Source organism: Homo sapiens, chromosome 12 (genome assembly GCF_000001405.40).
Source record: "Homo sapiens chromosome 12, GRCh38.p14 Primary Assembly".
NCBI lineage: Eukaryota > Metazoa > Chordata > Mammalia > Primates > Hominidae > Homo > Homo sapiens.
This window is the reverse complement of record NC_000012.12, coordinates 23117742-23142830: the sequence shown is the minus strand read 5'-3', so window position 1 is coordinate 23142830 and position 25089 is coordinate 23117742. Positions and strand designations below refer to the sequence as shown.

Sequence of the window (25089 nt, the reverse complement as noted above, 5' to 3'; positions counted from 1 at the left end):
ATAATGTTTTTAAAAATAATTTGAAGGAGTAAGTGTGAGTTCAACTAAAGAAATATTGCAAGACTGCCAAGCAATGGAGTTTCCTTTTTGGTGAACCTGAATTTCTGGTGAAACTTGTCTGTCCTATTGTGTGAATTTTTCTAGCAGTTTCCAGCTGCCAGGGTACAGGTCCAGAGAAAGGAGGTTCATCTTTTCTAAGGAGTTTCTAGATGCAACAAAAACACAGAGGGGCAAGTAAATCCACATCTTAGGGTATATTGTTACTTCATGATGTATAAGGGAATCTAACCTGCATAAGAACAAAATTAATAAAAGAAGAACTTATTACTTAGAAGAAAGCAGAAGATACATGAGGCTGATGATCTCATCGAAGTCATAGAGAAATGATGATTGCAATAACTGAAGTAATGGTTTAAATTAGTAATTTGAGAAGTAGAACAGTTATAAATGATGACATGAGTTAGCAATTGGGGCCAAAGGGGGAGATAGCTAAAGTATGGTGGAAAAGAAGGTCATTGAGGTGAGAACTTCAAGGATTTGAAGAGGCTATTGGGTAAGAAGCAACATTAACGCAAATATCTTACTTTTTAAATACATACTTTTTTTTTTTAAATAGAGATGAGCGTCTCGCTATGTTGACCAGCCTGGGCTCAAACTCCTGGTCTCAAGTGATCTTCCCATCTCTGCCTCCCAAAGTCCTGGGATTACAGGTGTGAGCCACCACACCGGGACCATTCATGCACATATCTAAACCATCCCCCTTGAAGACAGGATTTGGTTTCTCTTTCACTGTAGAAATTATAGCTCTTTCCTTTCTCTACTTCTAATTAATCTGTCACTGTTGACATATTATCTGTGTTTCTTATTGTTTTTAAAGAGGAACTGTTTGGTTCAGTCAGTCATCATCCAGTTTGAGGTTCCCTGTTGTGAGCCTTAGAACCATCATGGCCTAGGTGACAGGCTAGTCTACAGAGGTTGTCTTTAAGTTATCTCTTGTCTAGTATGTCAGATAAGATTATAAAGACCATGAAGACTTGTGCAAACTCTTCAGAAAAAAGTTGTGTGTGCAACGAATGTGATAAGCATTGTCGGGGCAGACCTGGGGAGGATTATATCACATGCCATTTCTCCCTATACATTCATGTGTATATACTTTAATTCATCCAAGCAAAATTCAATGAAAATAACTTTTAACTTCTTCCCAAGGTACTCACCAATACCTGTCCACTGGAAAACCCAAAGGGGAAGGAGAACAAGCAGAGGGCACTTTGAGCCAGCAGGGCTTAGGAATTGCCAGTCAGCAATTACACAAAGCAAGAACATGCTCCTTTCAAAGGTGTCCAGGATGCAGGAACTGTGGGAGCATTAAGGAGTAGAGGGGTAGGGCCTGGTAGAACAAGGACAGCTATGTGCAGCTGGCCAGAGCTATGGTTAGATGCCCAGTGGCACTTATTCTGGGTATTAGGCACTTACCTATATGCATGACTGATTTGACTAATATAAAAAGCTCTGCCTTATTTTTGCACCTTAAAGGCCATGAAAAAAGAGGCAAAATAAATCCAAAATAAATGAATAAAATCAATATTTTTTGCTGGAAAATATGAGTGAACTATACAGTAAAGCCTCACAATGTTTCCATCTGCTAGGTAAATGAATCAAGAATAGTTTTACATTCATAATTACAGAGGGAAAGTGTGAAAGACCCTTATTCCTTTTTTCCCTTCTCTTAAAAAATGGTGAATAGGGCCTTTAATACTCAATCTTAAATGAATGTTGTATATTTTGGCCTGGTGTCAAAATGTTAACAGAACTTGTACTATGGTCTTCTAAGGGGAAAAAACAAATAGTTTAACACTGAGGTATTTTGAAGCAGGTGCTCTGGACAATTAGAGAACTTTGTGGCTTTTGAAGGCACCCTTCCAAGAACTAGAAATCTGAAAAATGAATACCACACTGTCACTTTGATAAAATATTTGGTTTTTGGTTCTATTGGGGAAAGAAACCAGAGCTCAAAGAACACAGAAAAAAGTAATGCTTGGTAAGGTGTAATGTGTGAGACACTTCTTGAAAGCTGCCAATAGCCCCTGAAAAAATAGTACACACTCCTCAGTTATGTAGATTAAACAAGAAAACACCAGTAGTTTAGCCACTTGTCAAGTTTCAACTTAACTTATTATCATCATGATATGAATAGGAATGTATAAAATTCTCAGTTTGGGGTAGATGACGCTATGGTTAAAACTGGAATTTTGTAATATAAAGCAAGGGGGAAACAGGTATAAGATAACAAGTGGCAAATGACACAGGATTAAAGAAAAATGAGAAAAGAAGGGGAGAATAAATGAAAATCAAATTGAAGAGGGAGGAACTAGAAAAACTGTAGGACAAAGTGTAAATGAAAGAAAATAGAGCCGGGCGCGGCGGCTCACGCCTGTAATCCCAGCACTTTGGAAGGCCAAGGCGTGCGGATCACGAGGTCAGGAGCTCGAGACCATCCTGGCTAACACAGTGAAACCCCGTCTCTACTAAAAATACAAAAAATTAGCCGGGCGTGGTGGTGGGCGCCTGTAGTCCCAGCTACTCAGGAGGCTGAGGCAGGAGAATGGCGCGAACCCGGGAGGCGGAGCTTGCAGTGAGCCAAGATCGCGCCGCTGCACTCCAGCCTGGGCGACAGAGCGTGACTCCGTCTCAAAAAAAAAAAAAAAAAAAGAAAGAAAGAAAATAGAAGAATCACTTGGATTGCTTAACAAAATCCACGTTCTAGACCTAGATATTCTCAACAGAAGGTGGCCTATTATTGGCAATAAATAGTGTTTTCAAGTATTCCTGAGATGTTAGGGGACTCACTGCTTTAAACATCAATCAGTTTTATTATCCCTAAATTGAAACAATAACTTCTCCTCTGCATATTGTGCATGATTAGTAAGGCACTGCATTAGTCTGCCAAAAAGATACTGCCCAAGACTGGGTAATTTATAAAAGAAAGAAGTTGAATTGACTCACAGTTCTGCATGGCTGGGGAGGCCTAAGGAAACTTACAATCATGGTGGAAGGCAAATATCTTCTTCACAAAGCAGCAGGAAAGAAATAGGAGAGCAGGGGAAACTGCCACTTATAAAACCATCAGATCTCATGAGAACTCACTCACTGTCATGAGGACAGCATGAGGGAAACCCGCCCCCATGATCCAATCACCTCCCAGTGGTGGAAGGGGAAGCAGGCATGTCTTACGTGGCAGCAGGTAAGAGAGAGACAGAAAGAGAGAATGAGAGCATGAAAGTGCAGGGGAGAGGCCAGACACTTATCCAACAACCAGATCCCGTGAGAACTTCCTCACTATCATGAGAATAGCATGGGGGAAACCACGCCCATGATCCAATCACCTCTCACCAGGTCCCTCTCTGGACACTGGACATGTAGGCATTACAGTGTGAGATGAGATTTGGGTGGGGACACAGAGCCAAACCATATCAGTCTTTCATGAGGAAATGATTGTTAAAGCACCACACAGATATAAAGTGTATATTTTTTATGAAGCACAGAATTCTGTGAAGGGAAGCACCAAGTAAACAATGCACGGTGCACTCCGGGGAAAGCTCTGAGCTGTGATTCATTCTCAGAATGAGGGAAATAATGACCTCAGCCTATGCACACTTCCTTATGAATTTAGAAGATGACACGGTTATACTAGTAATTCATACAACCGAAATACCTTACTGTAGCCTAAGAAATTCTTGGCCCTATGGGTACATAGATTATCCTAAACTGGATAGATAATTATACAAATATCTGTATCCATGGCAGTATAGATAAAGCTTTTAAAATAGGTCACTGAACTCATTGAACTTTCAATAACTAGTATAACCAGAGTAGAATTGTTAAAAAAATTGGATTGGAAATTTCAGTGTTTATGCTCTTGACTCAAAATCGGGGGGCAGATAATAAATTCATTGCTAAAATTCATTTGGAAGTTACAGTTTAAATATATTTTCCCAGCCATATGCACTTTACTATTTTTTATTACTTTCGAATTCTTGTGAAGCTTTCTCGAGCGATTTCATTTGGTATCTTATTCCCTGTTTCAATTAAGCATTTGCATATTTATCTTCATTATCATATAATTATATTATATAACATTTATAAGTTTAACTTTTCTCTATGAAACTCAAAGCAGTTAATGAGTTTTGTATCATTTATCTTCCTCCCACAACATTGAATTAAGAAATCAGAAAGCATCATAGCTTCCATTTTACTGATCAGTGGTCAGCTTACTTCTTTCTCAAATCCTAATCTGGGCTCTATGATACCCAAGCTCTTATTTTCCAGGACCAGTGGTTCTTAACCCTGACCTCACTTAATCACCTGGTGAGCTTTTGGAAAGTAGCTCACAAGCCACGGCCTTTGTCCAACCTTAGACCAATTGAATCAGGACCTGTGAAGGTGAGGGCTGAACATCAGTAAGCTTTTTAAGTTCCTTATGTGAGCCTAGAGAACAGTCAAGGTTCAGAACTGTTGCTCTAAAGCAGTGCCTTTAAAACTTTAATATGGTTTGCAATCCTAAGAGGATATTGTAAAAATGCTGATTCTTATCCAGTAGGTCTGGGTGGCCCCTGAGTTTCTGCACTTCCAGCACACTCCCAGGTGATGCTAATGCATCAGAACACAGAAAATTATTTGAGTGACATTTTTCTCAATTCTTGTGACAACTAGGACCACTCTCAATGCATGGGAAAGAAGTTTACGCATCACATACAATGGACTTCTTAGGATATTAGGGCCAAAATTCTTACAAAATCAGAGTTGAGAAAAGCTGCTTTCTATTTGTGGATACAAATGGAATTTTACAGATTATTCAGCACCTTTCATATTTTGACAGCACATCTTGGTCATTTTTACCTTTATAACTTCCAGTAATTAACTTGCTAAGCTGGAATTTTCCAGACTCACAGGGCATCAATACTTCATCCACTTCCATACTTGCAGCCCCTCATTTACCCAAATACTGTTCACTTCTCAGATCCCTGAAATACAGCCTCTGTCCCATGACTTCACTGAAATCATCCCCTCCAAGATCAGCAACAACCTTTCTGACTAAATAAAATAAACCCTTTTAGCTTCATCATTTTATTTGGCTTCCTTTTCATACTATGAACTACCTCATATTTGAAAGCCCTTCTTCCTTTCTTAGTTTCTGTGCTGCAGAAATCCATTCCTATCTCTCAGATCACTCTTTCTTTCTCTGGCATTTATTCCTCTTTCTTTCTCCCACTGTCTACCTCTTAAATATTGGCAATCTTTTGGGGTTTTACTGTTGTCTTCTCACTTGACTCACTGTTCCTAAGGTGTCTTGCCTAATCTCATGGTCTTCTTCAATGTGCTAGTGACTTTCAAGTCCGTGTCTCCAACCTGGAGTAATTTCTAGACCCAATTTCGGTTGTTTGCTACATCTGTTGGCTTGAATATCAAATTCTTCATTACCCAATTTCAACTCATATCAACATCCCCAACTCTCTTCCTTGGATTCTCTATAGGTAACATTGTAAGCCCTAAAAATAAAAAATAACTGAGAAACAAGAGAGAGGTAGTGACATAAATGTCACTAAAGTCAAGTCCTAGCAGGAAGATAATACCTCATGAATTTCTCAAAGACCAGATTCTGCCCTTACAGGTTCAGAAGCCTTATTTTATAGGAACTGCCTCACCATAACCAACATCATCAAACCCATACATCAAATCTGTAAGCCAAATTATTTTAATAAATTGCAGATCTCATATTCCCCTCAATATGACCAGGACAGGCTCTTTCCCTATAGAAATACCTACATGAAAAGTCACATTATAGTTAAATGTTTGCCCAATAAGCATGGAATCAGTGCAAGGGAGTTGAATAATTTAAATATATAATAGAATCAGGCTAAGACTCAGTACTTCATTTATGAAGTACTTTAGGAAGTTATACATTATAATTCTTAAAGTTTGTCATACAATAACCCCTCACCCAGGAAGCTGCTCAGACCGGCCTTGGTGACACTTCTTTTCTTGCTTTTCAGCATTGGTCAACACCCCTCCACCTCCACCTCCACACAAACTGCCTACTAACTGGCACAGTGATCGATGTGTTCTTGTTTTCAATCTGTATTTAAATGCCAGCTGCAGTAACTTGCTTATCCCTCACATTTTCTCACTAGGATGGCTGCTATAGTATCTATCTGGCCCCTCAATGTCACTGATCATTAAAGAAATGCAAATCAAAGGCACAATGAGATGCCATCTCACACCAGTAAGAATGGCTATTATCAAAAAGTTAAAAAGTGACCAATGCTGGCAAGGTTGTGGACAAAAGGGAACACTTATACACTGTTGGTGGAAGTGTAAATTAGTGCAACCATTGTGGAAAGCAGTATGGCTATTCCTCAAAGAGCTAAAAGCAGAGAGCTACCATTCAACACAGCAATCTCATTACTGGGGAAATACCCAGAGGAATAGAAAGCTTTCTACCATAAAGATATATGCACATCAATGTTGATTGCAGCACTATTCACAATAGCAAAGACATGGAGTCAGCCTTAAAGCCCATCAGTGACAGACTGGATAAAGAAAATGTAGTACATGTACACCATAGAATACTATGCAGCCATAAAAAAAGAAAAGGATCATGTCTTTTGTGGGAACATGGATAGAGCTGGAGGCTACTATCCTTAGCAAACTAATTCAGGAACAGAACACCAAATACAGCATGTTCTCACTTTTAAGTGGGAGCCAAATGATAAGAGCTTAGGAACACAAAGAAAGAAACAACAGACACTGGGGTCTACTTGTTGGGGGGATGGTAGGAGAAGGGAGAAGTACAGAAAAGTATATTCATAAGAATGCTTAAGTCACCAAGAATGATCAGCCAGGAGCCAACACAGTCAATAAGTGAAGTCCAGTGACATTCCTCTCCCCTCTAACAGCCACACTCTCACGCTCTCTCTTGCCTCTCTAACTTTGAATGCATCTTTCCCTCTGTGGATATCCTTTTACTCCCTACTTCCCTTGGGTGACTCCTGATCACACTCCAGGACTCAGCTTATTGGTTAGCTCCTCGGGGAAATCTGGAAAGTATGGCAGCCTCCTGCCATGAGTTAGGTGTACTTCTAATGCACTGTCTTCATATCTACTGTAAACATATTTCTTTGCATTTAGAAACTTTTTCTTTGCATTTAGGAACTTTTTAATGATTTCTTACTTATGCATCCCTCTCATTTATGTGTTGATTTTGTAGCCTCCATGAATGCACCCACCACATGTCTAATTTGCCTTTGCATACGTAGCAGCTAATGTAGCTGGCATATAATTGCTGACATAGGTTTTCCACTCCCCGAGGTGGCCTCAGTTGTCCTTGGAAGTTATTACAGGAAGAGCAGTCAAGGCAGCAGCCTACCCCAGTTTAGAACCACCAATAAGAAGATAAATGTCATCAGCCACCCCTGGAGCATGTCCATGCAATGGCAATAACTGATTTGATAGTGACCAAGCCAACCAGAGACACAACAGGCTTGCGTCTTCTTTCTTTGTTAATGCCCTAATGCTGGTTGTTTTTCCTCCAAGTGTTTGTAAATAATATTATATTCTTGTATTTGAATCTATGCAAGAGCTAAATGTACTTCTCATTATCTATCTCTAATGTCAGTTTGTATGAGCTTTTCTTCATTCTCCTTAAACATATAAGGAGACTACTTTTCAACAGAGATCTATGTTACTCTGTATATACCTAAGACTACTTTTATATTTTATTTTACTCTCCATAAATAATCAACATTAATACATATTGATTCCTGAAGCGATTATAATTTTGAAGAATTCATGCTCCTTGAGTGGTTGAGTAGTAGATGGACACTCAACCTAAGCAAACAAAAACATGCCAATAAACATGTACTCCCAGATCAATGACCCAATCTCATCAGTAAGATTCACTTGTCATTTTTCTTTCTCCTTCTGCTAGATATAAACTCATTGGAGACAGGATTCCATCTTATGTTTTTGGCACACTTACCTCCAAATATAGTGCCTCTTAGAGTGTACTCTCAATGTTAGTTGAATGAATAGATCAGTGAATAAATTACAGTGAGAAACAGCCTCTCTGATACAGCTCCCATATGCAATATTGAGGGACACCATCTATAAATTTATGGTAATTAACAAATACTCTCACATATCTGCCATGTTCATATTCTAAAGTTTAGACCAATGGACATTTTTGTAAAATAAGAACCCTCACTCAAAGGTAAAAATATTACCACTTAGAAATCTCAAAGAAATTTTTTTCTCTGTATATCAGTACAGAAATATGAGACTATTATATGACAGTCATTAGATACAAATAATTTACAAGGAAATGATTTTAAAAACCCAATTTCAAATAAAATTATAAGCAATATCTATTCAGAGCTTTTAAGAATACGCCTCTATCTATCTCTCTTTTGCACTCCTTGTGTTGACAAGGCACACAATGTGGTTGGATCATGTAGATTAATAACCAATGCAAGTGCTGACCCATGTTTCTTTGGTTAAAATATAGATAAGTTGTTGGAGAGAATTTCAAAAAACAAGAGTTTTGAAAATGTTCACTTAAACATAATATCTCACATTTTTCTAGGCTCTAGTTATATTTTTTTACAACACTATCTTAAATGGATTGTATTGACTTATGTGGCTGTTAAATAAATGTCACATATCTTCATTTTAGGCATAACTATTTTAAAGGATGAGTGATGTACAGATATACTCTAAGACAGAGTGTTGAGAAGTTGATTCTTTGGAATGAAAGTTGTACACAGTCATTTAAGTTCTGAAAATTCCCTGTTGAATTTTCTTTTCAGATCATTTTAATAATACTTTATATCATGATCAAATAAAAAGTTATCTCTAATATGTTTAAATCCCTAATGTATTACTCTGTTCTCATGCTGCTAATATAGATATACCCAAGACTGGCTTGTTTATAAATAAAACTGGTTTAGTAGACTAGACTCACTGTTCCACATGGCTGGGGAGGCCTCACAATCATAGTGGAAGGCAAAGAAGAAGCAAAGGCATGTCTTAAATGGCAGCAGGCAAGAGAGCTTGTACAGGGGAATCCCCATTTATAAAGCCATCAGCTCTCCTGAGACTTACTCACTATCACGAGACCAGCACAGGACAGACCCATTCCCCATGATGTAATTACCTCCCACCAGGTCCCTCCCATGACATGTGGGAATTATGGGAGCTACAATTCAAGATGAGATTCTGCTGGGAATACAGCCAAACCATATCATCTAATTTATTCTAGCACTCAATTTCATTATTGGATTTGAACATTTTAAGGAAAGGATTTAAAAAATTCTGAAAAGATCTCAATACTGCTTCCACAATTAAGGCCTACACCACCCTAACCAAAATTATTGAACTATCTTCTTCACTACAGCCAATTCTTTACCCATTTTCTTCTTCCTGATACATTTACTGAGAAAAAAAGTGACAATAGCCATTAATTATTTTATTTAACAAATATTTGTTTTTTATATGCCAAACACAGTTCTAGACCCTGGTGATACAACAAATAAGAAAAACAAAAATGGTTAAAATTACTGCTCACATGGAGTTCATGTTTTAATAGAAATATTTAGAAAGAAAAATAAGCCAATATAAATACAGTATCAGTAATAAAAGTGCCAAGAGGAAAATAAGGCAGTATAAGAAAATAGAAAATGATGGCGATGGCCTCTCTGAGGGAGTGAAATTTGATTACATACCTCAATAAATTAAAGAAACAAGGTATGTGAATATCTGGGAAGAGTGTTTCAGCAAAGGGAACCACACTACAAAGGTTTAAGGCAGGAACATGTTTGATATCTTCCAGGAAGAGCCAGAAATTCAATGAGGCTAGAGAAGTCTGAGCAGGGGAAAAGTGGTAAGCAGCAGGTCAGAGACAGCCAGAGGACAGATAAGGAATGGCCCCAAGGGCCACTGTGGTAGGACTTTGAATTTTACCCCAAGTGTGAGAGGAACCCCTTGGACGATAGACTAGAGGAGTGACACTACATGATTTTGGTTTAAAAAGGCTTACTCTGGCTGCTGCGTGAAGATTGGACCATTGGGGGTTGAAGGGAGAAAAGCAGAGACACTAGTTGGAAGGCCACTGCAGTAGTCCATGTGAGAACAATTGCACCTTGATGAAGGTAGGTTTGTTAGTTTTCAGAGAAATGAAACCAATAGGCTAGAGAGATTAGATAGATAGATAGATAGATAGATAGATAGATAGATAGATAGATAGATAAAGAGGGCATTAATTATGGGAATTGGCTCATGCAATTATGGAGGCTGAGAAGTCCCACAAAATACCACTTGCAAACTGGAGAATTAGAATACCAGTGTTATAATTCATTCTGAATCTGAGAGCCTGAGAACCAGTGAGCTGATGGTATAAGTCCTAGAGTCCAAAAGCCAGAGAAACTGGAATTCTAATGTCCTAGGTCAGGAGAAGATAGATGTCCCAGCTCATGAAAAGAGTGAATTTGCACTTTCTTAACCTCTTAGTTCTATGCAAGCCCTCAGAATTGGATGATACCCACCTACATTGGTGAGGGAAGCTCTCCTTTCCTCAGTCCACTGATTAAAATGCTAATTGCTTCCAGAAACACCCACACAGACATACCCAGAAATAGTGTTTTACCAGGCATTTGGATATCTCTTAATCTAGTCAAGTCAATACCTAAAATCATGCATCTCAGTGGGAGAAACATAAGTGGTTAGAGGTGATCTAATCTCCACGTGTATTCTCAAAATTTCCAATAGATTGGATATGGTGTATGAATGAGAGGGGTGAAAGATAACTTTGCCTAGGCAATTGATGGTTCTTTTTACTGAGGAGGGAAGCACTGGTGTACGAGCAGGTTTCCAGGTGAGAATAGAGCAGGACAATTTGAAGACTTATCAGCTGATATAAAACTGATGAGTGACATCATGTCACTGATTCAAAAAGCACTATGAACCTTAAGCAAGACATGTACAAAGAAAATCACTTTTGAGTCCATCACAGCAGAAAGAAAAACCTTAAAATTAGGTGAAATGGGTAAAAAAGATTATCTTCAAAAGAACAATATTTAAACTGACTGCTGTCTTTTCAATAAAAACAATTAAAGCCAAAAGGCCATGTAATAGTTTCTCCAAAATCCAGCAAAAATATCTTTGCCATCCTAAAATTTTATACCGAGCAAAAATATTATTTGGGAATAAAGGTAAAATAAATATATTTCCAAGTAAAACAAACCTAACAGAATTTGGCACCAGAAGAACCACACTGTAGAATATCTTCAGAGAAAAAGAAAATGATCCCAGAAGAAAGTCTGAAGATGAAAATAAAAAGAACCTAGAAATCAACAAAAAAAGTAAAGCTAAATAAAATGGATATTAACTGTAAAATAAACAATAATAATGTCCTAGGCAGTTTAATGTACATAGAATTTTTTTTAAGTGACAATGTCATTAAAGTCAGAAAGATAATAATTAAGGTATTTTTAATTTTTGAGTGATCTGGGAAAAGGTTAATAGTATCAAACAACAATATATTTTAATAAGAAAAAGATGCACCTTATAATGGGGTAACCATAAAAATATAGTACAAGAATACATAGCTTCCAACCTAAATGAGGAGGGAGGAATGGAATCATAAAAATGTATAATCATTCCAAATATAGGCAAGCAAGAAAAATGAAAGAAGAAAAATATGAAAGAGTTGGACAATCAGAAAGCAAAAATATAAATATTTAAATGAAATATAAATGAACTAAATACTCCAAATAAAAAGCAAAGATCTCAGACAATTTTTGAAAATACAGCTTGAAAGATAGACTTCCAAAATGTAAGTATACAGGTAGAAGCAGAAAGAAAACGAATACTCCTGTAACTATTAACGAAATTGAATCCACAGTGTGAAACTGATCATAAGAAAAATTCCAGACCTAATGAAATCACCTGTGATTCTGCTAAATGTTTAAGGAAGGAGTAATGTCAAATGTACCCAAACTCTTTCAGTGAACAGAAAAACTGAGAATACTTCCGATTTGTTTTATGAGGCCAATATAAATTTGATATCAGAAATCTAATTAGTATATTATTAGAAAGGAAAATTGCAGTCAATTTCACTCATGAACATAAATGAAGCAATACTAAACAAATACTACCAAACAAATATAATAATGGGTAAAGAGAAAAACAAAACTGGACAAAGAGTTTATTCTAGGAAGGAAAATTTCATTTAACATTAAAATTCAATATTTCACCGTATTAACAAAATAGAGGAGCTACAAAATGCATTCATGGGAAAGCGCTTGCAAAATAAGAGGAAAAACATCTTTCTTAACTTGACAGAAATATCTACAAATGTTTAGAGCAAATGTTACACTTGATATTTGCTGAAAACCTTCCGTCTGAGATTGGAAAATTCAGCATGGTTGACATTTTGAAAACTCTCCCTCTGAAATTAGGAAAAAGACAAGGATATGTCCTTATTACCTTTTTTTTATGCCATGCAGTAAGACATGAAAAAAATAACTTTAATAGAAGAAAAAATATTTTATTTTTTTCAGGTGTGATGACTGAATATATACAAAATTCAAATAAATCTACAGATAATTATTTAGAAACAGAAGGTTAGCTTAATAAGGTTGCTGAACTGAAGGTAGTCAGCAAATGACATTTTAAAGATACCATTTACAATAAAGTCCACAAAATAAAATATCTAGGAATAAATCTAAAAGATGTGTAAAACTCTCAAGGCATAATTTCACAAAATATTGTTGAAAGAAATTAAAGAAAACATACATGTTCACTGACTAGAAGATTCAATTGATTATAAATTTGATACAGTCCCATTAAAAATCTCAAGAAGTTCGACTCTGCATGCTGTGTGTGTGTGTGTGTGTGTGTGTGTGATTTGACAAGTTGATTCTCACATGTATGTAAATTGAAAAAGAATAGAGATTAAACACTATTGAAAAAGAAAAACATAATGGGAAAACTTCCCCTACTAGATGTCAATTTAAAGCTAGAGTAATTAAGACAATGTGGTATTTGTGCAAGAATAGATGGATCAATAGAACAGATTAGAAATCTATGCATATATTTACTATTAATTTATGAAAAAAGTACAGGCAGAGCAGTGAGAGGAAGATAAAAAGTGTGACTGGGACAATACGATTGCCAAATAGACAAAAAACAATGCTGAACATCAATTCCTGCACACGTTATCTGCAAAAATCAAATCCAAGTAGATTATAGGTCTAAATATGAAAGGAAATTAATAAAGTTTCTTGAAGGCAATCTAAAAAAGGATTTGTATTCCTTTACTGTTGTAAAATAATTTTTAAACAGGATGCACAAAATATTACTAACCATAAAGGAAAAGATTGTTAACTGAGATTATAGTAAGAGTAGAACTTTTGTTCACAAAAAGACACCAATACCAAGAGATAAATAAAACCACAAAATGGGAAAAGGTATTTATAACACATAACTTACAAGCTTAGGTCTAGAATATATGAAGAATGTACACAGATTGATCAGACAAAAAATACAGTGGAAAAATTGGCAAGAGGTTTGAACAGTGTTTTACAAAAGAAGATATGAAAATGACCATAACCTTTTCTCTTTAGAGCTATTACAAAATATTTGAGAGGTTTGCCAAAAAAAAAAAAAAAAATTGCAGGAAAAGGAGTAAAGCTTCATCATTCTTATTTTAATAAAAGAATAATAAATACTTGGCCCTTTCATCTTTGTTTTAGAAAAGGAATAAATAATTATTACATCCTTTACCTTCCAAGTTTTTCCCTCCACCTCACCATTTACCCTTTTACAGTTCTGCTTTCTGAGTTTTTAAAAAGTGTTTGAGTACTTTCTTGAGACTTGACACACATTTTATCCCTTATGTTGAGCTATTGCTCTTAGTTCACTGTAATTACCAAAATGCATAACTACAGCCAAAGTTTTTCAGAGTTAATTTTCTTCAACCTCTTTTTCTTGGGCTTCCTAGAAAAGATGGAAAAAGTGAGAGGAAGGTGAGAGCTTGTGGATAAGCCTAATTCTTATTCTGTCCTAGTGATGTCTGAGCTGTTAATCTTGTCTTTTCTTTTAATCTAGGTAATGATAATGGGTTCTTTTTCAATATTGTTTGAGCTTCATTAACATGTATGTTGTCTGCTGTAATTTCTTTTTCATTCAAGCAGTACTTTGAAGCTAACTTTATAAGGCTCTCTCCTGCTCCAGGCCAAACTTTGACTTCCCTTTTTATTCGCAGATTTTTTTTTTTCTCCATTTGTCCCCTGCGCTTTGTTTTATATCTCATTGCAGCTCCTGGTTCTTTCATTTGCTGCTCTAGCACTATTTCTTCCTAATCACCCATATTTTGGGTTTCATGTTTGACCTTTCAATATCCCATTGTCAATTCATGCTTATGAAAACTTTGTAGTGGATTTTAACAACTGTAATCCTCAATTACATATTTATTCACTTAATATTTTTGAGTGCATATCTTGTGGCTGGTACTGTCCTACGACCATCTTGCTCATCATCTGCATTGCCCAGTGCCCCTACCACACCAGAATAAAGGATTTGGGGATGTGGGCACTGGTATCACCTTCACTGGGTACCTGGCACCCAAGCTGAACCCGTTTTACCCCCTCCACACCATCCCCCAAAGCTGCTTTCATACCCACAAATGCCCGCATTGTCCCACATTCTCTAAAAATAGAACAGCAAAGTTTGGGGATCTCTCTAGAACTTATTCCATAGTACATCCTGCTGTGATCTAGTTTCTGCATCCCTCTTGCTAAAAGGCTGAGAGCATGAGGTTTTCACATATCATTCAGCCAATCATCTGCCTTTAAGTTTTCTAGATAAAGCTTGCTTTGTGCTTGCATCATATACGAAGGGTGTTTGCCCTCACCTACAACTCCACAACATGGAACATAACAACAACAACAAGAAAAAACACCTGCCTGTCTTCGTGGAACCTCAGTGAGTTAGAGATATTATGCAAGTTGAGATCAAATTTATTTTAGGTTCTCAAATATTATTTTTATTTTTAATTTTTGCCTAATAAACTGGTCCAGAAACTTTTAGTTCATTGACATTCTTGGTCCCCTTAACAACTTGACTGTTCCATGGCCATAAATGGCATCTCCTGCCAAGTCATCCACCTGTGCACCTATAGGTTAAGAAAGTAAATAGATAGCAAGTTAAGAAAGTAATGGATTAGTTCCCATTCACAAAACCATTGAAGTATAAAATATCCTCAGCTGATAGTGTCAGTACCATTATCTCCTTACATAGGAAGCAGAAGCTAGTATTTGCCTCACTAAGATTTCCTTTTTGCTTTCCTACCTAATTTAAAGGAATTATAAATGAGAAGAGGCAAAAGGGGTTCTGAAACTTCAATAGAGAGAAACTGATAAATTTATATTTATTATCAGGCTACTGTTTTCAAGTATAACCTACAAATTAAAATCATAAACATAGAATGGATGTGATTAAAGATAAGTAAACATCTCTGGAGGAAGTAAGGTATTGATTCAATCATGTATTTATTCATTGATCATTTCTTAGACACAAATTTCAGAGAGGATCACATGTATAAGGCAAAGTCGAAGGACTTGGGATAGGGCAGAGTGAAGAAGTGGTGCTGGGGAGTAATGTAAAGGTCAATGCGACATGTTACTTGTTCTCAGAGAGGTCATGGGTTAAGCTGAAGTGCAGAGAGGCAGCATATTATTCATATTATAATATGATAAATGCTATAATAGAACATGTAGTACATGTTTCCACCTCTAGGACACTCCTTTTGGGTGTGGCCCCTCTCAGGTAAACAGGAAAACATAGTAACAATAAACATCAGTATAGATTATAAGTTCATAAAGTAAGATGTTGACTGCAACACCATAAGCATAGCTTTGGGTGGTAAGTGTTAGAGACATTTGCCATAAAGCCCATGACTAGACAAGTAAGTCTCTGCCAGCCTACTCCCATTATGGTTGGCCCTATTCTCATCATGGAACAACCTGCAACCACAAAACAGTACTGGTCCTTCTCTCAGTTTCTTGTATGCACAGTCTGAACTATTAGCACTGGAAGATTCCCCATCTGGTAAGTGGTTGGTCTTGCCTATCCAGGTGTAGGAGCAGAAAAACTCCACCTCCATCCTCTTAGGGTCCTGGAATTAAATTGACATTGTAACAGATTAACAGGAGAAAAGCATAGTACAAGTCTTATGTGGCACAGAAGCCCTCATAAGGAAATGAAGACACAAAGAAGCAGTTAAGGTCAGTTACTTATACACTCAACTGGATGAATAATAGCTGTGAAGAAGCAACTAAATTATGTGGGGAGGCTTAAAAGATAAGAGTTATTTCTAACAAGATCTGCACAGAATTCTCTTGGTTTCGTCTTCTTGTCCTTGAGGATAAGGATGCTGCATCTTTCTGGTATAGAGAGGGTGTCTTTCACATGGCAATTCTATCTTCTGCTTTTAAGAAACATCACAAGGGTCAAAGTGATCTTTTTGCACGTGCTATGTTTCGAGTGTCTGTAACTTAAACAGTCAATATGCCAGAACAGCATATTTTAACCCCTTAACAGGCATGAAAGATATTATGTTAGATTTATTCATGTCTATCTAATACCCTTTCTCTACTGTCAAAGTTAAAATCTCCTAAAGATTGTGTTTACAAGTCTACAGAGTCAACAGGAGGAATGTGGAGAATTCCAGCTCTGCTAACAGTATTTCAATGGTGAAAAATAATCTGTTAAACATTCTAAGAGAATACAGAATGCGGGTTCTTGAGGGCATGGCTCTAATCACAGGTAAATACATAAAGGATGTTAGAAAAAGATTATTTATCATAAAAGGTACTGTCCAAAGGAACATAAGAGAGAGCGAGAAAAGTCTACCTCACAAGACGTACAGAGGCAGAATTACCTGGAAGCTAATGAAACAACTTTATGAACTCTCTCTTACATGGAACCCTCCAGGAACTTGAGAAGGGCCCTGGCAATGTGTCTCCTTCATCAAATTTAAAACGTGCCAAATTATGATGTTTTAGCAGCAATTGTTTAAGACTGCTGTGTTTTTCTTTTACAACTGCATCCTTCATACATTTTCTCCATCTTTTGAGTGGCTCCGGAGTGGTTTCAGAAATTTGGGGGATCTGCCTAATGAGATGTTGAGCTAGAGATAGTGGATTAGGTTTGTAAGGTTCACGAGCACTTCTGTGCATATCTAAGTCACTACTAGCCATCCCAGTATTGGAATAGTTCAAGAATACTGCTGGGAGTGTTGCTCACCCAATATTGTGGGCAAATGTATTGCAGAACACGTATGCAGGGTTCATTCCCTTAATCTCATTGGAGAAAACAATACCTCGATACTGCTTGAAGATTTTGACCACTTTGATATTTTAGCAGTTCTGGTTTCTTTGGGTTCTTCTTACATTGAGCTGCTTCTAAACACACATACCAATTTGAGGTTTTAAATGCTTATATTCTTAAGTGTAAAGATGTGGTCTACCCTGATAAAGATGTTTAAGCTATGAGACGATGGGTAAAATGCCATTTTAGAGGCTCTAAAATATATTGAGAAGACTTGAAAAAGAACACCAAATACAAAATAGTGTGTAATGTTTATTTTAAAAGTTCATGAAGCTTGAATACAACATTTTAACTGTAATACTAAAAAGGAGTTTGTAATATTTCCATCAAATAAGTGAGAAATTACAGACTCCTAATCAGCGTACATGTGAAATATACCTTCTTTCTCTTGAACTGAGAGACAATTCAGGTAAAATAATTAATGGCATATGAAGTAAAATGATAAATATAAGTAATAAAATCAATAGAAATTATTCTAATATAAAAAAGTAAATGTTAAGACAAAATTTTTAAAATCATTTCAAGGGCAATAACTCCTTAAGAGAAAGACAAATTTTGAACAGAAGTAATGGGTAGATTCTTGAATGTTTGCTAGTCCAGTTAATGAAGTGGTATGAATTACATAAACATATTTTAAAATATGGAAATTTTTTGTTGCTTTGATATGAAGTGCCAGCATCGATAGATTTATCGTAAAAATTATAATATGTCTAATAAACAAATTATCAAAAACAAACTGATAAATGAATGCCTTCAATTCAGAGTATCTGAAATTAGTTACTACTTGAGAAACCCTGAACTGCCCTGAAGATTTGAGGCTAACTTGTGAAAGAAACTTGGTAGAAGTTTTGACAAATAGGACCTCAGTCTTTAAAATATATTAGATAACACCAAATACTGGTTGTGAAGCCAAAAGGAATTTTTCTAATCTTTAAATAAAACAAACACAAACTCAAGTTCAATCAATAATCGTAAAGATTATCTTTTTTCTCTATATAATAATATTACAAAAATACCATGATATAAAATGCTATTAAAGAGTATATAGCACAAAAATAAGAAACAAAGTATTATACAGGTATATTAGGCAGTTAATATATTTTTTTGTGTGTTGGTGATGTTTGAGGTATTGCCAGCTCTTAAAACTTGTGATTTTTTTCTAAATGTGTTTTTCATTCAAAATAAATATGCATTATTTTAGCAAATTTTATATGTGTAATTATGTATTCTACTTGTTAAAGAAGGCCCTGTCCCTCCAAATGACATAAGCTTCAAGCTTTGCCAAACCTTGCTCTGCCCCTGATGTGGTATGCATTTAATATAAGCTGAAACTCAGTTCCATTTCTAAGCCTGGCAAACAGTAGTCGTTATAAGAGAGGAAACATGTCACTTTGTAAATGAGGTGACCCTGAGTTAAATCCTAAAAGATAAAACAGAACTTCCTAGTTTTGGTGGTTCTCAAACTTAAGTGTGCATTGAGATCACCTAGAGGGCTTTGTATAATAGAGTGCTGGACCCCGCCCGCAGAGTTTCTGATTCTGTAGGTTTGGAGTGAGGCCCAGGAATTTTCTAACAGGTTTCTAACAGGCTCCCGGGTAATGGCTATACTGTTGATCTGGGAACCATGCTTTGAGAACCACAGCCACAGTCATTTGTCTGAGCTTCTCCTATCTGAGCCAGCCCCTCCACTTAGGTATTTGGGCCCACGGTCTCCCACTCACTGGAGGCTCCAAGAAGTCTCCCCACTCTCACAGCACCAGTTCCTGTATCTTTCCTGGATAATTTCCACTGGTTTATAGTCATCCCAAGATGAAATCTAACAAGCATTTGTCAGTTCTCATGTCACATGGCCTACAAGCAAAGCCTTTGACATCCTTCATTTCTCTCTCTTTCTAGAAACTTTTGGCTCCTACAATACCACAAGCCCTTAGTTTTACTCCTAACTGAATGGTCACTCACTGTCTTCTTTGCTAGTTTCCTCCTCCTTCTGATCCCTAAAGTATGGAGTGTCCTAGGACTCCATTCTTAAATCTCTTCTCTATGTGCTCTTTCTTCATTGGTGAGGCAATTCAATAATTTAGATGCCATCTTTTTCAAACTCCCAAATTAATACCCCCAGCCCACAATTCATCTGATATTTAAAGGTGTATATACAAATACTCACTTAATATCTCCATTATCAAAGTTAAAACATCACAAACTGAACTCCTTCCCTCTAAGTATTTTTCACCTGCTCTCTTTTTCATATCAAGAGGCAACTCCATCCTTCCATGTGTATAGGTTAAAAAAAATGCAGGGTGCTCTTCTTTCATACCTTACACTTCTGCAAAACACATCCAGAATCCAACTACTTCCACCTCCCTGGCCATGAGCCCAGTCCAAGCCACCTTTGCCTCTCTCCTGGAGTACTGCAGGAGCCTCCTGCCTGGTCTCTGCTGTTCTTAACAAAGCAATCAAAGTGATCTTTCAAAAAAAAAAAAAAATGTATATTTGACCATGTTATTTTCCTGCTCAAAACCCATCAATGTTTTTCAATTTCACTCAGCATAAAAGCCAAATTACTTTGATTTTAAGGCCCCATACAATAGCCCCTCACACCTCCAGCCTCATAATACATTACTTCTCTCACATCATCTTCTACTGATTTTTTCCTCCCTCATTTGCTTGTAGCCCCTCCTGCCTGCCTGCTGTTCCCTCTGCCTGTATTGCTCTTCCCACACGGCCCACTCCCCCATTTCCTTCATGTTATTCCTCAAATGTCCTCTCAACATTGAAACCTTACCTGCCTATCCAATTTAAATTTGCAAGCCACTTTCCCAGCATGTTCTGTCTGCTTACCTTGCTTTATTTTCTTCCCAGTATGCATAACATGCTAATACACTCAATAATTTACTTACTTACTGTATTACCTCTCTCCTCTTACTAAAATACCAGCTCCCTTGCTGCAGGGATTTTTATCTGTTTGTTCAGTGATGCATCTTTACGTACAGAAACGATAACAGTGCCAGAGACATAGAGGGACATAAACATCAATGATATCTGTGGAATGAGTGAATGATCAGACAATTCTAGATATGGAAAACAGCATATTACCTTAGAATATATGTTATAAAGCATAGTATATTAAGTGCATAGGAAGAAGCTCAATATCACTAAGGCATACTGAATGTGATGCTGAAATTAGAGGAAGCCAGAAGTCAGGAGCCATGTAAATCTGGAGGTACCAAGGGGGAATAAACAGAGCATACAGGAATTTGTGGATGGATATAGAGAGTGTCACTGGATCTCCATGGGGAGCTGGCCCCATAGTATATGGCTGGATCGACCACAGAGGAAGGTGTAGGGCTTGGTGCATGTCATGGAGCAGAGTTAAACAAAAGAGGCTGTAAACACATGCAAGGACAAAGTCCTGAGTGTGGGCCAGTAAGACTCAAGGGCCTGCTGCCTGGATAGCTTCAAATCACCAACTGTTGCAGATTATCCCTTCATTAGAAATCAATACAACAGCTCCAGCCTCCAGTGTCCATACTGTGAGGAACCCGGCATCCTCTCAGTTGCTCCATAAACACTCAGGAGGCTGGAGTTCAGTCATGGTGCCCATTACCGATGTTTTAATTCTTGTCTGGCATCCCTGCCCCTGTCCTCTTCTCCGTGTAACTCAATTTTGCCTTCATTTTCTCAAAGGATAGCTCACCAAAGGCTGGTGAACCAAGGCAGGTATTTACTGAAAGTTTAGACCTAGCAGATGGGATTAGTGTATAGAACAAAGAGACAACTTAAAATTAAATGTAAGACACTACTCTTTTTTTTTTTTTTTTTTTTTTTTTTGAGACGGAGTCTGGCTCTGTCACCCAGGCTGGAGTGCAGTGGCGGGATCTCGGCTCACTGCAAGCTCCGCCTCCCGGGTTCACGCCATTCTCCTGCCTCAGCCTCCCAAGTAGCTGGGACTACAGGCGCCCGCCACTACGCCCGGCTAATTTTTTGTATTTTTAGTAGAGACGGGGTTTCACCGTTTTAGCCGGGATGGTCTCGATCTCCTGACCTCGTGATCCGCCCGCCTCGGCCTCCCAAAGTGCTGGGATTACAGGCGTGAGCCACCGTGCCCGGCCAAGACACTACTCTTTTAGTTTTTTCAAGCCATCTCCAGCCATAGAAAATTGCCTGGTGATTGTACACAACATACATGTAAACATATATAACACACACACACACACACACACACACACACACACACACACATATATATATATATTAGTTATTAAGTTAATTCTGGCTGAAGGGAGAATGGATTTTAGGGAAATGAGACTGAAGGCAGGCGTACTATTTTGGATAAGCATCGCAAAGGCAAAAGCCTATGGGACCAGGAAGGTAATATAGATGAATGAAGGAGACCAGAAAGGGACTGAGGCAAAAAAGAGAGCACACATGCTTCATGTAACGGAAGCAGCCACCAAGTCAATAATAGCGTCAAAGGCTATCATGGTCGGCACTTGCTCCTAGAGTTAGGCAGCACAAAGCATTCTCTACCTTATTTGGATAACTACTTCCAGCTGATTGTTGCCATGGGAAAATACAGGTCCAACGTTTCCAGATCCTCCAATTTTTCAGTGTTTTAGGACAGCTGAGTATTGGCCATTTTATTGAACTCTCCTATTTTTAAACAAAGGCAACAAATTCCATTTTTGCTAAGCTCTCAACATTAGTTCTCAAACAAAATATTTCTTCCAGCTGGATTTGACCTTCTGGCCATTGGTTTGCTATCCCTTAGCTGGGACCTACATGCAGCTATCCAGGTGACAGATGATGGTGGCTAGACATGAGCTGTGATGGTGGGAATAGAGCACAGGGACATGGTGACCTACTAAGGAAGCCACAGCAGCTCCTGAATTCCCACAAGGAGCTGGGGCACCCCAAAGAAGACTCCAATTCTTAATATAACACTGGGAAAGGAGGTGTAATAGTGAACACTGTGGCAGGAAGCAATGCTGCCGTGGCTGAAACTTTCATTGGCCACCAAGCACTACTATTAAGCAGGGGTGCTCATAATATGCCCATGTGTTTTCCTACCATCCAAGGGTACGAGTGCACTAACGCACAACCAAAGAAATGCCAGTCTGTATAGCTCATTTCTCACAGTGGCCATGGTGGATCCAGCACCTTCTAGACACTCAGCTCCAATTTATTCTCATTCTATATTCACCAGGCAAGCAATTTTATTATCTGAATTTGGTTTCCCAAGAAGATTTTGATATGAAAAACTTGTGCTAATCAACTCACAAGGGGACTTCAAGATCACAATTCACATTTGATGAACTGTCATTCTGATTTATTTGTCATCTTATTTTAAATTTAACATGAGAAAGTGAAAGAAATTGAGTTCCTCTTTATGCAAGTCTAGTAGTCAATAGTACGGACTCTGTGTTCACACTGCCTGGATTACAATACCAGCTTTTCGATTCACTAGCTGAGTGACCTCAGGCAAATTTCATAACTTCTCTTTGCCTTAATTTCCTTATGTGTATAAGGTAAAATAATAGTACTTACCACATGGAAATCTTAGGAGAAAATGAATCAACATACGTAAAGTGTCTAGAATAGCACCTAGCATAGTATCACTATAAAATGTTAGCTATTCTGATGATTATCCTTGATTCAACCATAATATACTTATTAAAGACCCAGATTCTAGAGTCAGACTGGCTGAAGTTGTGTTATAGCTTTGTAGATAATTAACTTTGGGCAAGGAATATAGCCTTCTTATGTCTCAGTTGCCTCTGCTATAAAATAGATTTAACCATTGCAGCTACCTCCTAGGGTTGTTTATATTTAGAGCTTCTAAATATATATTCTATATTCCATAGAATATTCTACATTCCATAAATTCCACATATATTTAGAAGCTGTAAGAATAGTGATGGGTCCACAGTGAGTACTAGCTACTGTCTTGTTTCACACACATTTGTTGAATATGTACAAATTACTATTAATACAAAATGGATTAAATGTAACTTCTGTTTTTAAGAAGGATAATAAATAGTGTGACATAAGTGTTTTAATTTGAAAGGCCAGGCAGGGTGGCTCACTCTTGTAATCCCAGCACTTTGGGAGGTTGAAGCAGAGGAATCGCTTGAGGTCAGGAGTGTAAGACCAACCTGGGCAAAATAGCATCTCTATGGGAAAAAAAAAGAAAAAGAAAGAAGAAGAAAGAAAAGAAAGGAAGGAAGGAAGGAAGGACTGGGTGAAAGTACTGCCTAGGGTATAAACATTATGAAGTTTTAGTGTTGAAATTTATTTTAATAGCCCCTCAGAGTGGTCCTAAAATGGACCAAAAAAAAAAAAAGAAGCTGAACAGTTCAATGAATAAATTGCCAATCTTGTATTTTTAGTCATTTAATAAAGTGAATCATACCAACTTATAGCAGTGAAAATCTACAACTAATGCAGCTACAAATGCTGAGATTAAAGCAAGTCTATTCTAAATACCTTTTGTAACTGTCTATCTGGAAAATTAAGGAGTTGCCCTGAAGAGGACTCAGCTCTAACCAGAATTCTTAGTGAGTTCCTTAATGTGTGGACATGGTGATTTCTTCACCTATAAAGTGGAGTTGATGAAACTTATATGCCCTACATGCTGCAAAGGATTGTTGCAAGGGGCAAAAAAGATAATGAGTATATAAGTACAGTTTAAACATTGGAAGCATTGTATGTGATAAGGCATTATCATTATATATAAGAGCACATCATCCTTCAGGAAATCATCCCTGAAAATCAAAATTTCCTGAGCTGTGGGCCCATTGATTGCCTAAGATGGCTTATTATTATATTATTCTTATATTTGAGTTAACTCTGAAAAACAGATCATGGAGAGTAAGTTCTGCTATCTAAAGGATCATGTTAAACCTTTTTAGGTTGGGCCTTTTTGTGACAACACCTCAAAGTAATAAATTTTCCCCAAATTGGTTTTCTGTAGACCTGGCTAATTTTTTCTCTGTAAATTGTATTGAAGTAACATTAAAATGTCTTCCAAAACCAGATTATATATATGCATACACACACAAACACACACATATACAGTAATACTCATCAAATTCAGTAGGATGAGACATTATTTATCAGGACTTTCACAAAAGCCCCTCTTGATCTGTGTTCCTGTTGAATTTTGTCCATTAATATCACATTGATCCAAGACTTTTATCCAATACACCTATATATATGTTTCCTCTATTTTTATAAAGTTTGAATATTAAATCTCCCACAACTAGACAATGTCTCCAGAACATCCTCTTTTTGTACAATTAACTATTATCCTTATTTTTCCCGCTTTCAATTTTAATAGATTATTTCATACCATATTTGTTTTACATTTTACCAATAATATCAAGCTGACTACTGAACAGCTGACATAATCTATTTGGTAAAGTTAGAATAGATTTGTCTGGCTTTTTAATATGATTTCCACAATATGGATATATTGCTATAATAATTTTTTACATACTGATATGGATGTTTAATAGAATTGACAATAATATACTATGAAAGGAAAATGTTCAATGTTATTATTAAATGGTTAGGCAGTTTTACCTATATACCACAATTTTTTTTGCTTCATAAAATCTGGTTTTTATTTTTATACCACTAATTTGTAGA

The 25089-nt window shown here is 37.1% G+C and overlaps 1 long non-coding RNA gene across 13 annotated transcripts in view, besides 1 other annotated feature; it reads right to left on the bottom strand.

Moving 5' to 3' along the window:
* LINC02955 (long intergenic non-protein coding RNA 2955) overlaps positions 1-25089 on the bottom strand; it is a 491729-nt gene that overhangs the window by 48757 nt on the left and 417883 nt on the right. Inside the window, exons 11-12 of one of the 13 annotated variants that reach the window (NR_187510.1) lie at positions 15014-15226; positions 12227-14049 (exon numbers count right to left, since the gene is read on the bottom strand). The exons of the other annotated variants lie outside the window; for them this stretch is intronic. This is a non-coding gene — a long non-coding RNA (long intergenic non-protein coding RNA 2955). Of the gene's footprint in view, positions 1-12226; positions 14050-15013; positions 15227-25089 lie in introns of those variants that run through there. 13 annotated transcript variants of the gene reach the window in all.
* Positions 3249-3449: a silencer, noted in NCBI's record as "peak1605 fragment used in MPRA reporter construct". NCBI's record gives its function as "represses an SCP1 promoter by STARR-seq MPRAs in K562 erythroleukemia cells {active_cell/tissue: K562}" and the evidence as "EXISTENCE:reporter gene assay evidence [ECO:0000049][PMID:32103011]".